The 14,957-nt window shown below is 45.7% G+C and overlaps 2 annotated features.

Moving 5' to 3' along the window:
* Nucleotides 733-1,403: an enhancer, noted in NCBI's record as "H3K4me1 hESC enhancer chr1:229001855-229002525 (GRCh37/hg19 assembly coordinates)". NCBI's record gives its function as "activates a minimal SCP1, AML or CMV promoter by ChIP-STARR-seq in naive H9 embryonic stem cells {active_cell/tissue: H9 hESC(naive)}" and the evidence as "EXISTENCE:reporter gene assay evidence [ECO:0000049][PMID:30033119]".
* Nucleotides 2,745-3,413: an enhancer, noted in NCBI's record as "H3K4me1 hESC enhancer chr1:229003867-229004535 (GRCh37/hg19 assembly coordinates)". NCBI's record gives its function as "activates a minimal SCP1, AML or CMV promoter by ChIP-STARR-seq in naive H9 embryonic stem cells {active_cell/tissue: H9 hESC(naive)}" and the evidence as "EXISTENCE:reporter gene assay evidence [ECO:0000049][PMID:30033119]".

Genomic DNA, 14,957 nt, shown 5'->3' on the forward strand with positions numbered 1-14,957 from the left:
AAAAAAAACAGGGGTTTAGATTTTGGGATAAAACCAAACCAAACTCCTAAATGTTCCATAGAGGTGGTAAAGTGGTAAGAGGATAGTTTTGAAACCTACAATTGCTTTTTGGTTTATGTGTCTGATTGAATGTTTTTTCTTGATAAAACTTAACTGAGTACTTAGTATATGCCAGGCACTGTGTTAAGAATGTGACCTCATTTTGGGAGGCTGAGGTGGGAGGATCGCTTGAGCCCAGGAGTTCAAGACTAGCCTGGGCTACATAGCGAGACCCCATTACTAAAAAAAATTTTTAAAATTAGCCAGGTGTGGTGGCACATGCCTGTAGTCATAGCTACTTGGGAGGCTGAGGAGAGAGGATTGCTTGAGCTTGGGAAGTCGAGGTTGAAGTAAGCCGTGATTGCACCACTGCACTCCAGCCTGGGTTTAGGTTTTTATCAGATTGAGAGACTGAGCTAAGAGAGTAATGATACTTATTTCTTGCCTGCTTTACTGGGGTGTAGGGGGAGGTGACGATAGTAGGAAACAGTGCCTGGGCCTCCTCAAATATTTCCTAGAGATGGGATAACAGCCACGTATCCTGAGCAAATCCAGGCAGGCTCTGTGTCGGTGCTGCAGATGCAGGGACAGGTCAAGTATTGCAGGGATGGTGGGGGGCAGGGGGTGGTGGCCCCTGAGGTGGCCTGTAGGGGTGACATCCCTGAGTGGAGCAGGCTGATGTGCCAGCACCCCCATTAAAGGCCACTTTTAGGGCAGGTGCTAGGGAGGCTGCTGGAGGAAAAAATGACTGGGGGCTAAGGAAGCAGGGCACAGAGTGGAGTTGCTGGCAGAAGGCCACAAAGGGTTTTGTTCAGCTTCTCTGCCAGATGCATTTATTTTCAGAGATGGCCTGCTGGAGCCTTCTCTTTTCTATATGCATCCTCTCGAGACACAGACTAAAGCCACAATGCTCACCTCTGCTGTAGGGGAGTTTGCAGGGCAGGCCTAGAAAGGGTCAGCTAGAGGCAACCTCTTTTCATTCTATCCTGATAATCACTTGCAAATTCCAATAGGCAATTAGAAAAAGCACCAAGATTGCAAGAGTGCTAATTTTCCAGCATTTCCTTGGTAAAAGCTCCCTGTGATTTTATGGGGAAGGGGCGGGACAAGCAGTGGCTGCACGGATCCCACCCAGCCGCTGCACCAGGCTGTGCCAGGAGCCAGAGGGAAGCACTGTATGCAAGTAAAACGCACTCCTGTTTCAAAATGTTTTCCAGCGAGCTGTCCTGGGATCTCTGGTGTGAATGCACCCTAAGCACAGACTGACGCGCGCTCCCTTACCCTTCTGACCCTGCTTCCTGCCTCTGCTTATCACCCGCCCTGGGTTCAGAGTTTGAGATGCCCAGGCTCTGTGACTCTTCACTTCCAACGGCTCCCTGCAGCCCATGCCGGCCACCACTTTAGCACTGGTGAATGCTAAAGTGAATGAAAAGGAGATGGGACTCCAACTTTGTAGTAAAAACCACTTACTCTCTTATTCATGTGCACCCTCTCTAACCCAAACTATTTTTGATGAAGTACTTCACCAAGATGTGTGTTTTTAGTTGGTGGGGGAGGGGGTAGAACAGGAGAGGATGAAGAGTAGAGGAGAGCAGGACTCTTCCTCCTCCACAGAAGGAAACTTGTGAAAACATGTGGGACCCCAGGCTACTGCTCAGTAGAGTCCTCGAGGTGTTTATATTTGCCCAGTGCTGGACTCATGACAGATTATTTTGCCTGCAGGGTCTTAACAACATTTTGTAGGTGGTCTTGTAAAGGAAAGCAAATATTTAAGGCTTTTCTCCTTCCCTCTCCCTAATTGTTTATGTGGGGAGAGAGGTACCAGTTGCTCCTGATAAGAGCAGGCCACAGCCCCAGGCAGCTGCACAGCGCACAGCCATGTGAGCAGCTCTGGCCTGCTGTGGTGAGCACTGCGTTGACTTCACTGCCCCCTGGGAGGAGGCCGCCAGTTAAGTGGGGAAAATGCATCTGAAAATGTTGAAGTGGATTGCTTCCACTGTCAGGGCATTTGGGGGAAACATCTATGAAATTGGTATAGCCCAGATGTCTTTATATGCACATGCTTAGCAAATCAGGATTTAACAGATGGCATGAATATATATACTTTGCATATCTAAAGATGCTTATATGATTAAATGTAAGTGATTTTGAATACGTGTACCATACACATCTTGCAAAAGAAAAGCCGACCAATTATATGGTCCATGTTATGGTTTACATATGTGGCCATCATTATAAATTATGTCTATCAAGCACTTACAGGGAGTTGAATTAGTTACTGTACAAAGCACACAGCCCTCTTTAGGAATTTATGATCTGGGGAAAACAGTGTTGCCTGCAAGGGAATTAAAGACTGTATCATCTGTAATAACAATCGAGATTAGTATGTGGTTTTACAAGGTACAAAGTACTCTCAAAACATATCATATGATCTTCACAAAGGCCTGAGAAGGTTAAGTGTCTAGGGAAAGGTCATGCAGTTATTCAGAGCTAGGCGGGTTCATTACCAAGTTTTGGTCAGTTCTTTCCTGCCCCTAGTGCTGACATCCGCAGGTCCAGTCCAGCCCTGGGACTGGGTGGGTGTGAGGGGCCTTGACTGGGAATCTGGATGCAGAGGCCATGCTGTGTTTATGTGATAGGCTCGCTGTGATTTCTGTGGTGTGGAGAGTGGTGAGCGTGGGGTCGGATATTCAAGAGAGCTGCAGCGCTGATGGGCAAGGCTATGTGGCAGCCATGGGGGCTACCTTGAGGCCAAGTTTCCTTGGGGGATGGGGCCAGGGATTTGCAATAGCCAGAGTCCCCCCAAGGATGTGATTTCTGCAGGGAAAGCACTGCTTGGATGACTCGTTGTCCGGAGTTGTGCCCACCAGGTGTTGGAGAACATGCCAGAGGGCTGGGTGGACAGTGTCAGCGGAGAGACTGGAGAAAGCAGCTGGTGCTGAGCAGGTGCAATGGGCTGGGCTCAATGCCAGGAAGCTGACATCACTTCATCTCCCCTTCTTTCATCAAACCTTTTAGCACCCTCTTCCACAGGTGAGGACAGAGAGCTCAGACAGGCTGAAAATGTGTTCAAGCTTACATGATCTGGTAAGTCAGAGCCAGCCTCCGAGCCACCGGCTTCCTCTGAAGCCTGAGTTCCTACCCATTCTGCTGGCTGTCTCCCGAGTACTGTGGGCACATGAGGCCAGAGATCTCAGAATTCAGCTGCACTGGAATCCCCTGGAGGGCTGGCTGAAATGCAGGTTGCCTGCTCCCACTGAGTTGCTTACTCCCTAGGGTGCAGTGGGCCGGAGAATCTGCATTTCTAACTAGTGTTCAGGTGCTGCTGCTGCTGCTGCTGCTGGTGGTGGGTATCCATTTTAGGGACCACTGCTTGAGGCTGGGAGACTGGCTGGGGCAGGGGACACTGAGGTCTCATTCTGATTCCCCTGGGACCTGAGTGAGCTCCCCTGAGCCTGCTGGTGAATTCCCATTCTGGCTGTTCATGTCTCGAGGTGCATGGGGTGGGGAGACGCCTCTTTTCAGAAGTGCATGTTGCCCAGCCACAGGAGCTACGTCTTTTTGTTTATGTGTTTGTTTTTGAGGCAGGGTCTCACTCTGTCTCCCAGACTGGAATGCAGTGGCACAATTACGTCTCACTGGAGCCTCAACTTCCAGAGCTCAAGCCATCCCCCCACCTCATCCTCTCAAGTAGCTGGGACTATAGGCGCAAACCACCATGCCCAGCTAATTTTTAAATTTTTTTTAGAGAGGAGGACTCACTTTGTTGCTCAGGCTGGTCTAGAACTCCTGGGCTCAAGTGATCCTCCTACCTCGGCCTCCTGAAGTAATGGGACTACAGGTGTGAGCCACTTCGCCCAGCCAGGAACTATGACCTAAGCTTCCCCTTGTTAACCTGTGCCAGGCACACAGTGACTGCTCAGTGAATAGTTAGCATCTCGCTGGCTTGCCTAACACCCTCAGAGGCCTCAGACCCCTCAGTCATGAACCCCTGCTGCCGTCCTGCATGGATGCTGCCCTTGTTGTGGGGCCAGGATGTCTCCATTCTTGTCCACGGAGCTCCACCATTTAGGAAACAAGTCTCTTTCTGGGGTTTTAGAACTCCGTCTATATTCAATAAAATTCACATGATCATTCAGCTAGGACTGCCCCCCCGGGCCTGCCTCCTTGCTGAGTTCTGGGCCCCATTTCTCCCAGTGGGAGCAGGGCTCGGTCAGCATCAGCAGCAGTTCCTGAGTGAGGGAATCACAAGCGTTGCTGCTCTGTGGGGTGTAGCCTCACCCCATGGGTCTGGAGCAGGCCACCAGTGCCAGTCCCAGGTTTCTGTGCCCAGGAAGACACTTTCTACAACATCAGCTCTGTGGGTGAATTTGGAGGAGAAAAGCATGTTTTTAAAATTTCTGCCAAAGCAGATAGACATTTTATAGATTAGAAGTACAATTTGCATGATTTTTTAAAGATAGGAATTTAGACGTGAAGGAAATGTGCTTTTGAATGGGGCCAGTCTCCTTGGTGTAACACTATCGCTCTTCTGAGCCTGTAGGGTCATTTCTGTGGAAAAATTTGAAAGTCAATGACGAAGAGTAAGCAAAGCAATGGAGCTGCAAGCAGTGACCATCTTACTATCTTGATATTGAGACTTTATGTAAATATCAGCTGCAGATTTTATGGAAGAGAAAGAAGTCGACAGGGAGCAAAAGTTGTGTGTGAGGGATAGTGGTCCTGGAGCTACTGTGTGGGAAGACAATGGATCTGTCCTGGACAATTGCTGTCACTAGCCTGCAGCCATCAACATCAAGAAGTCAACACTTGTTCACAGCCTCAGTATTCGTAAGGGTCTGTGTTGCCAAAGGAGGTCACAATGATCCCTCTATCCCAACTGCCCTTTTGGTGGCATCACTTTGCCAGTTGGTCTGTGACTTGCTTTGGCCAATAAGTTACAGCAGAAATTCTCCCTTAAGTTATAGCTTCTATTCTCTCTCTGTCTTGGGAGCCAGCTGCCTTGTTTAGAAGCTCAGACCAAGCTGCTTGTTGGTGAGGTCGCTCAGACAAAGGTCAGAGTGCAGGAGGCTTAAGGCACTGGGCGAGAGCCAGCATCACGCCTAGACGACCGCCTGTGGCCAGCTCAGGGCCAGCTCAGTCACCCAATGATCCCTGTGGAGCAGAGATGGATCATTCTGCAGAGCTTTGCCCAAATTCCTGAGCCTCAGAATCAACAGAAAGAACACAGTGGTGTTTTAAACCACTACGCTTTGGGATGGTTTGTTACGCAGCAATAGACAGCTGGCACAGGCCATTGGCACAACCACTTTGTTGTGTATTGTATAGGCACAGTGGTACATTTAAAAATGCTTATTATCTTCCTTAAGGTAATAGGTGAAGAGTCTTTAATGAGAATAATCCAGTAAATAAGTTGATTAAAAATAATAATGTCAAAGCTGGGTGTGGTGGTTCATGCCTGTAATTCCAGCACTTTGGGAGGCCTAGGAAAGAGGTTTTCTTGAGCCCAGGAGTTTGAAACCAGTCTGGGCAACTGAAACCCCATCTCTACAAAAATAAAATAAAATAAAATAAAAGATTAGCTGGTCATCGTGGCATGCACATGTAGTCCCAGCTACATGGGAGGCTGAGGTGGGAGGATTTCTTGAACCCAGGAGTTTGAGGTTGCAAGTGAGCTATGATCCTGTCACTGCATTCCAGTCTGGGTGACAGAGCAAGACTTTGTCTCTAAAATAATAATAATAATAATAATGCCACTATTAGCCAGAATATTAGCCTTATTATTAGCCTTATTGGTCAATTAAGGCTACTTTGAAGATAATTCCGCTTAATAAAATATACCATACAATAACCATAAGACAAGAGCAGATGGGTGAGTCTTGAAGCCTGGGTGCTTTAGGAGCAACTGGAGGAAAATGCTGCATGAGAAGACACTGCAGGAGAAACTCTGACAGTTCTTGCGTCCTGGGATAAAGGAGGGAGGCTTTTGTCAGAGCTGACCGCACATGGGATACATTTGAACATTTTCTCTTTCCCTTTCAGTGAAGCAGAGCCTGCAGCCCCTGGCCAGTGCATGTGGATCTTTTCTGCTTAATGTTTTGTTTACTTCACTGCTGGTTTTCCTGGGAACACTAGTGTGTGTTTTAAATTACCTCTCTTTCCCCTTTAGACCGGAATTAGCCTCTTTTCCCTCCAAGGCAAGATTCTGTGTGCCAGTGTTTCAGGGAAAAACTCTCAAACTGTTTTTCCTCTGCTCTCACACCACAACCATCAACACAGAAGTCTTCTGTGCCCAAATGCAGGGGGCTTGTTTTCCACCAACAAGCAGTGGACGGACAGCAGCTGGGTGTCCTCCAATTCAATTCTGACACTATCTGGAGATAGCATCAAGTCCCCCAGGTTGAGGGCTGAGTCCCCAAGACTGCCCCTGACACTGCCAGACACCAGTCATGAGCCTCTGGAACATCTGACAGAGCAGCTTCAACTTGGGGCTCCCACAGCCGCCTCTTTCGGTTCAATTAATTTGCTGGAGCAGCTCACAGGACTCAGGGAAAACGCTGACAGGTTTATTATAAAGGATATTACGTAGGACACAGATGAAGAGATGCATAGGCTAAGATATGGGGGAAGGGACACACAGCTTCCATGCCCTCTCTGGGAACCTCCATTTGTTCAGCTATCAGGAAGCTCTCTGAACCCCGTCCTCTTAGATTTTTAAGGAGGCTTCATTACACAGGCATGATTAAACCATGTAGAAATGTGACTGGACCAAAAGCACATGATCGAAATCCAGCAAAGCCTGTCTGCTCAGACTTTTCTTATCTCTCTGTGCAGGATTCCTTCCTTCCTCTAGGGCATGGGGCAGGACCCTCTCTGGAATAAGGGTTTTTGACCCACCGTCAGATTCGAGTCTTGCCTTGGGCAGGTGAAAGACAGGAGGAGGTCAGAGAGAGAGATTCTGTTTCATGAGGCCTGCGCCTGAGGGCTAAAGCACCCCAACACTGTAACGAAAGACCGTGACAAAGGCTATGGGGTTATGGCCAGGAACTGTTGATAAGAGATATATATATATAAAATCATAATCATAATATCACACCCGGGGTGCGTCTCATGTTCCCATTTAGCAGCTTCTTTTTCCTTTCTTTTTTTTCCCCGTTTCTTTTCTTTTCTTCTTTTCTTTCTTTCTTTCTCTCCCTTTCTTTCTTTTTTTGTTTTTTTTTTGAAACAGGGTCTTACTCTGTTGCCCAGGCTGGATTGCAGTGGCACAATCTCAGCTCACTGCAAACTCCACCTCCCAGGTTCAAGCAATTCTCAGGCCTCAGCTACCTGAGTAGCTGGGATTACAGACATGAGCCACCACGCCCAGCAGCGGCTTCTTTCTTGATGAACTGTTTCTACTATTTTTCTTTTCTTGTTTTTTTTTTTTTTTTGAAGCGGAGTCTCACTCTGTCGCCCAGGCTGGAGTACAGTGGCATGTAGGCTCACTGAAGCCTCTGCCTCCAGGGTTCAAGCAATTCTCCTGCCTCAGTCTCCCGAGTAGCTGGGATTATAGGCAGGCACCATCAAACTCAGCTCCAATTTTTTGTATTTTTAATAGAGACGGGGTTTCACCATGTTGGCCAGGTTGGTTTCGAACTACTGACCTCAAGTGATCCACCCACCATGGCCTCCCAAATTTCTGGGATTACAGGTGTGAACTACCACAGCTGGCCTGTTTCTACAATATTTCTTTTTCTTTTTGTATATAACTCACTATTATTTTTAAAATGGTATCAATATAAGTAACCCTTGGGAAAGGAGCGGGGTACGATTCCTCCTCTAACTGAGCAGCAGTCGTTGGAAGAGTTTATGCTCACACCTCCTCTTGTCTTGCTCGGCTGTCTGCTCTGCAGAACAATGCAGACTCTGACTGGACTCTTAGAAACAGCAAGTTTAGTCTGCCTGCTCATGTCCCACCTTGCAGAGCTCCAGCTGCCGGGGTGTCCTGGCTGTGTTCCTCCTATTTAACCAAGCTTAGCCCGACAGTGGCATCCCAGCGAGGCAGGGTGGCTGTTCCTTCGCTCCTCCTGCTCCTAGTGACATTATGGCTCAAATGAATCTTTAATTTGCTTTTCATTCTCCATTCCCCTCCATCTTTCTCTCCTGCTCTTTCCTCTGACCTCCCCAGATAGCCATTTTTTCCTAATTCTTCACACTTATTTTAACCCATAGGTATTTGTAGAGCACCTGCAATGGGTGAGGTGCTATGTTTGGCCTTGGGGACACAGAGGTGACCTAGATCTGCTCCCAGCCCCAGGGAATGTGCCATCTAGTGAGGACAAATAAACCAACAGAAAAGAAATATTCAAATGAATAAAATAATTGCAAATGGTGGTAAGTGTCATGAAGGAAATAAACGAGGAGCAAGCTGTGTCATTTTAACCGAGGCCTGAGGTAGCTAATGAATTAGTCACTGAAGGAGGGCTGGGATGGGTCAGAGGAAGCCACGGGGCACAGTCTGGACATTTTCAGCTTTCATCCTTTGTCTGTGCACATTGCTGACTGTCTTCTGCTCCCTAATTCAGGCTTGGCCAGACTTGTCCATATCCTAAATCTTAGACCCTCATGGCAAACTGGTGGGCCACAAGGCTGGCCTCTAAAATCTAATCACTTGAAGCTGGTCCCAGGAGACTCCCATGGAGAATAAGGTTGATTAAAATTTATTTGCTTGAAATATTTTTTTATTGCTATACTTTTTTTAACAAAAGAAATACATTTGTGTAGAAGGCTGGGCATGATGGCTCATGCCTGTAATCCCAGCACTTTGGGAAGCCAAGGTGGGTGGATCACTTGAGGTCAAGAGTTCGAGACTAGCCTGGCCAACATGGCGAGACCCCCCCCCGCCACACTAAAAATACAAAAATTAACCAGGCCTGGTGGCGCATGCCCATAATCCCAGCTACTCAGGAGGCTGAGGCAGGAGAATCGCTTGGACCCAGGACATGGAGGTTGCAGTGAGCCAAGATCGCATAATTGCACTCCAGCCTGGGTGATGGAGTGAGACTCTGTCTAACAAAAAACAAACAAACAAACAAACAAAATTTGTGTAGAAAAAAATTATAGCAAAAGGAAGACATCAAAATATCTATAATCCTACCACTCTGATATAATTATTTTTACACTTCTGGTTATCTTCTTCCAGAACTTTTCTTATGCATGCATATGTGTGCATAAATAAAATGGACAAAACTGTGTGCCTATTCACTTAATAGTGTATCTTGGTCATCTTTCCATTACCTGCCACATCGTTTGTTCACAGCAATATCACTTTTTCTACCCTAGTTTTAATTGATCTTACTGCTAGACATTTGGGTTATTTGCTATTCAAAACAACATTTTAATTAAATGTCTCTGTAGCTGAACCTTTATGCACACTTCTAATATTGATTATTGAGTCAAAGCAGTTGCCCACAGTTATGAATTTGAACATGGATCTTGGCTAATTCTTTAAATACACATGAGCTCTCCACAACCTCCACTGCTATCTGGGGCAGACAGGGACACTTGCAGGGACACGGGCTGTGTCCTCCCCGCATGTGTGAGATGGCTATGTGTCCACTCATCATTTCTGCAGTTGGATTGCTGACAATAATGAGTTTTTTCTAGATCAAGGCATCTGGACCAAGAGAGAAGAAAATATTTCAGGGACTGAGCATTAATGGCCATAGTGCATTAACTGAGCATAACGGTTCATTTGGAGAGAAAAATACTGAAGGAAACCTGGGTGGTCAGAAAACTCTAAAGCCACCATATTTGTGGTTTTAGTTTTTAAACTCTCCCTCTCCAAAATCCCAAAGCATTTTACCTCTGCTGAGTCTATTTTAATGGAGAGGAAAAGTGAGAAGTCTAAACTTTCTCCTAATTGATTTTTGGCTGCTGTGTCTATGAGAGACATGGAAACACTGTTCTTTGCAGATTTATTTCTTCTTATATTAGGGCAAAGTTGGGTCTATTTATTTCTGTTTCCTTGGTGGTTTGATAATTATGATCAGTGAGAGTATTGTGAGTGGAGGGTAGGGGAGTACGTTACAGAAATCATTAGCCATCATTAGCTACATAATCATCCCCAATAATCTGGTATATTGTGGCTCAAAGAGAAAGACGAACTCCAAGCACCAAAGAAAAGAATGTCACTCAAAGGTCAAATGGCCCAGGTGAGCCTGGAATGGAAAGAGCCATCGTTTATGTTGCTAGTCTACTAAAGCTCCCCAGGATTGGGAATTCATATAATGAAGGGAAGAATGAAATAGTCCAACATGAAAACAACATTGCTGGGAAGTCCTTTTAATTCAAGCTAGGCCATTGTAGCAGGTTGTCAGAGACCCTCAAGGTCACACAACTGTACTTGAACTGAGAACTTGCTTCCACTAACTGGGGGGTGCATGTGAGCAACTCAGCTTGCTCCGACTCTGTCTCGGGCCAGGTCTGCACTGGAGCTGGTAGGCGGATCAGGAGAAAGACATTTCTCAACAGCTGCCTCTCTCAGCCTCCCTCCTCCTCCTTATTATTCCTAGAAATGACAACAAATGTTGCCTGTTTTGCAAAAGGGCTGCCCAGCTGCTTAATTTGCAAATAAGAAAGGATAAATGGATTCTTTCTCATTTTGGAACTGGAGAAGGGGAAAGCAGGAGTTTAGTATTTTCAACAGGAGACCAGACCCTGTGGAGGCCACCCTAGGAATGGTGAGGCTCCACGGTGCCTGATGGGCCTTCTGATTCTTTATTGCTCAGTAACAAACCACCTAAAACTTAGTGGCTTAAGAACACAACATTCAGTTTGCTTGCAGATCTCCAATTTGGGCAGAGTTCAGCGAGGACAGCTTCTTTGTCTCTGCTCCATGGATAGAGGCTGAGGGGTGACTAGTCCTGGGGCTGCAGTCATCTCTGGGCTCACCCGTTCAACATGACTGGGTTGTTGCTGGGGGATCCCACTTGGGCCATCAACTAGAACCATTATAGGGGCCCCTCCCTGTGGCTGCTGGGCTACTTCACAACATGATGGCTGGATTCCAGGAGACAGGAAACAGCAGCCACCAGCTTCTTCAGGAAGCATCCCCTTCTGCCGTACTCAAGTGACTAAGGAGCCTCAGAGAGCTAGGACTCAGGAGGGTCACACGTAGACCCCCCCACTCTTAGTGGAAGGGCTGTAAGAGATACCGGGCCTTGTTTTATAGTGGTCACAGTGGTTTATCTTTCAGTTGTAGAATCACAGCATTTACTTCTTAGAAGTCATTGAGGCCATTTTCAATGAACCTCCACACTTTGCAGGAACCTTGTCTGCAGCACGCTAGCATAAGTTAGTTGTGGTCTGCCCTGGACTGGGAGATCGTGTGATCATCACAGAGCCATCCTACAGCAAGGAGGACCCGGAGGCATCAGGCGCATAACAAGAACATGAGAAAGGCCCTTCCTTTAAGCCCTTGAGCCCCTGGCTAGGTCCCTGGCAGGACTACTGGGATCAGCCTCCACCTTTTCTGTGTCTTTCAGAATGGTTCAGATGCAGAGGAGGAGCTGTTAGAAGTGTAGTCCCCCAGAACCCGTGGGCCATGAGAGCCAGAACAGCCAGTCTTTGCACATGAGCCAGTAGTCCATCTAAGTGGTACTGCCTTAGGAGTTTACTCAACTCTTTAAACTTACTGCCGTCATTATCAACAAAACCATCATCTTCAACTTCATTACACTTGACGGTATCTCTGCACTTCTTAGCACCTACCACTTGACACTTATGCTTCCTGTGTATGCCCACATAGGTGTGTATGTGACTCTGAAATCTGTCCTCCTTACTAGAAAGTAAGCTTCATGAGGACCAAGTCTTTGAGTGCTTTCCTCATTACTGTTACCCTGGTGCCTGCAACAGTGACTGCACTCTGTAGGTGTCTAATAAAAATAAATAGTTTTAAGGGAATAAATGAATGATCACCATCACCATTGTCATAATCACCTCATAGTGACTTTTTGTTTATCCCAACCAAATGTCTGTCTCTTGATTCTTATACTTTCTCTTAATCCTTGTTTTTCTGCTAAAAAGACATAAATTGCTAAAATGTTTGATAAGCAGTTGGGGGGTCTGCTTTCTTTTTTATTTGCTAATCAAACAAGTTATGAGATCTTTCCTTGGTTTTGGCTTTGATTGGAAGAATTGTTGAATTAGCTGTTCCCTCTAAGTTTACTTTTAGTTCCAAAATATTAACATATAAACCATAGATAAATGCAGCTACAGCTACCTATGCCAAAAATTTCCTGCACAAATTCTGATGACTTCATGAGTTTGTGTTAGTTATAAGAGGTCTAAGAATGAGGAAAACGGTGTCATTTGGTAGGCCTTCAGTTTAGAATCACGACATAGCAGGGATGTGACTTTCTTAAAACCAATATCCTAGCATTGTGCTTCACCTTAAAATGAATCCATCACTAAGCTTAAATGATGAGGAAAATGGAAGAAAAGAGAAATTCTATTTCTTATGAATTTATTTTTATTTTTATTTTGTGAGACAGAGTCTTGCTCTGTTGCCCAGGCTGGAGTGCAGTGACAGGATCTCAGCTCACTGCAACCTCCACCTTCTGAGTTCAAGCAATTCTCCTGCCTCAGTCTCCCGAGTAGCTGGGATTACAGGCATCTGCCTAATTTTTGTGTTGTTAGTAGAGACGGGGTTTCGCCATGTTGGTCAGGTTGGTCTTGAACTCCTGACTCCCGTGATCCACCTGTCTTGGCCTTCCAATGTGCTGGGATTACAGGTGTGAGCCACCATACCCGGCCTTATTTCTTATGAATGTAGCACTTAGGAAAGGAAGGAATCTGGCCTGGGACTCTTACTTCTTTGACTTCTCTGGGTTCTCATCAATCACCAAAAATGGTCGACTCTGTCTCAGAAGCCTCCTGCCTTCCCTTTCTCGTCCAAGCGTCCATCACACAGCACCACACCTGAGAGGTGATACAGTCTCTAGTCCCTTTGCCGCTGGAGGAAAACTGAAGACCTACCAAATAATACGGGCTCTTAGGAGGCCTGGAAGCTGTGGTTGGTCAGTCTTATGCTCCTCTCAAGGCCCTGTTCAATTTGCCTGCTTCCTGAAGCTGACCCTTATTCCCAGGCATGGTGACATCACATCCACCCAGTCCCTTTAGCTCCGATTTTCCACACTGTTTTTTTCGCATCCTAAGTCCATTATCTTTTATTCTTAGTCATTTTCTTATACTCATGACTAGTATCTCTCCATCTAGGATTCAAGCTGCAGGTCTGAGAGGAATAAAAAAATAGCAAAAGAAATTATCAACAGAGTAAACAGACAACTTACAGAATAAGAGAAAATATTTGCAAACCATTCATCTGGCAAAGGCCTAATTTCTAGAACCTATAAAGAACTCAAACAAATTTACAAAAAAAAAAAAAAAGACAAATAACCTCATGAAAAAGTAGGCAAAGGACATGAACAGAACTTTTCAAAAGAAGACATACATATGGAAAAAACTCAATACCACTTGTCACTAGAAAAATGCAAATCAAAAACACAATGAGATACCATCTCACACCAGTCAGAATGGCTACTATTAACACGTCAAAAAATAAAAGATGCTGGCAAGGTTGCGGAGAAAAGGGAACACTTATACACTGTTGGTGGGAGTGTAAATTAGTTCAACCATGGTGAAAACCAGCATGGGAATTCCTCAAAGAGCTAAGAACAGAACTACCATTTAACCCAGCAATCCCATTCCTGGGTATATACTCAAAAGAATAGAAATCATTCTACCATGAAGACACATGCACGTGAATGTTCATTGCAGCACTGTTCACAATAGTAAAGACATGGAATCAACCTAAATGCCCATCAATGACAGATTGGATAAAGAAAATGTAGTACATAGACACATGGAAAACTATGCAGCCATAAAAAAGAATGAGATCATGTCTCTTGTGGGAACATGGATAGAGCTGGAGGCCATTATCCTTAGAAAAGCAATACAGGAACAGAAAACCAAAGACCTCATGTTCTCCCTTATAAGTGGAATCTACCTGAGGATGGAGAGTGGGAGGAGGGAGAGGATCGGAAAAAAAGACTATTGGGTACTAGTCTTAGTGCCTGGGTGATGAAATAATCTGTACAAAAAACCTCTGTGACATGAGTTGACCTTTATAACAAACCTGCACATGTATTCATGAACCTAAAATATAAGTTTAAATATTGTTTTTAATAAAACCTCTTTAATACCCACAATATTCAGCACTTGCTTCTGGTCACCAAATGTGTGTGGTTTTTCCCACACCAAGCAAGTCTCCAATTCTCTGTGGACTCCAGCTGGGTATCCTACCATTCAATTCAATGCTGACGCTGTCTGTACGTAGAATTAATGCAGACCCTATAGGTTATGGGCTCAGTTCTGCAAGGCTGCCCACCCCCATTAATTCAGACACCAGCCACAAGTCCAGTTGACAGCTGGGCTTCTGATGAACCAGCTATAATTTGGAAGATCCCCCTCACCTCCTTCCCAGGTTCAATAATTTGCTAGCACAGCTCATAGAAAACAATTTACTTACTAAATCACAAGTTTATTATAAGACTACAACTCAGGAACAGCCAGATAGATGAGCTGCATAGGGCAAGGTATTGGGGAGGGGTGCGGTGCTTTCATGCATTCTCCTGGGTGTGCTACCCTCCCGGTATGTGGATGTGTTTACCACCTGGAAGCTCTGTGAACCTCATTCTTTTGGGTCTTTAGGGAAATTTTATTGATTGCATCATTGGCCATGGTGATTAGCTCAATCTCCAGCCCCTCTCCCCTCCCCAAAAGGTAGGGGTGGGGATGAAATTGCATCTCTCTACACGGTTGGGTCTTCTGGCAACTGATCCCCCATCCTTTGGGCTTTTCAAAAATCACCTCGTGAA

The sequence above is a fragment of the Homo sapiens genome, chromosome 1, assembly GCF_000001405.40.
Source record: "Homo sapiens chromosome 1, GRCh38.p14 Primary Assembly".
NCBI lineage: Eukaryota > Metazoa > Chordata > Mammalia > Primates > Hominidae > Homo > Homo sapiens.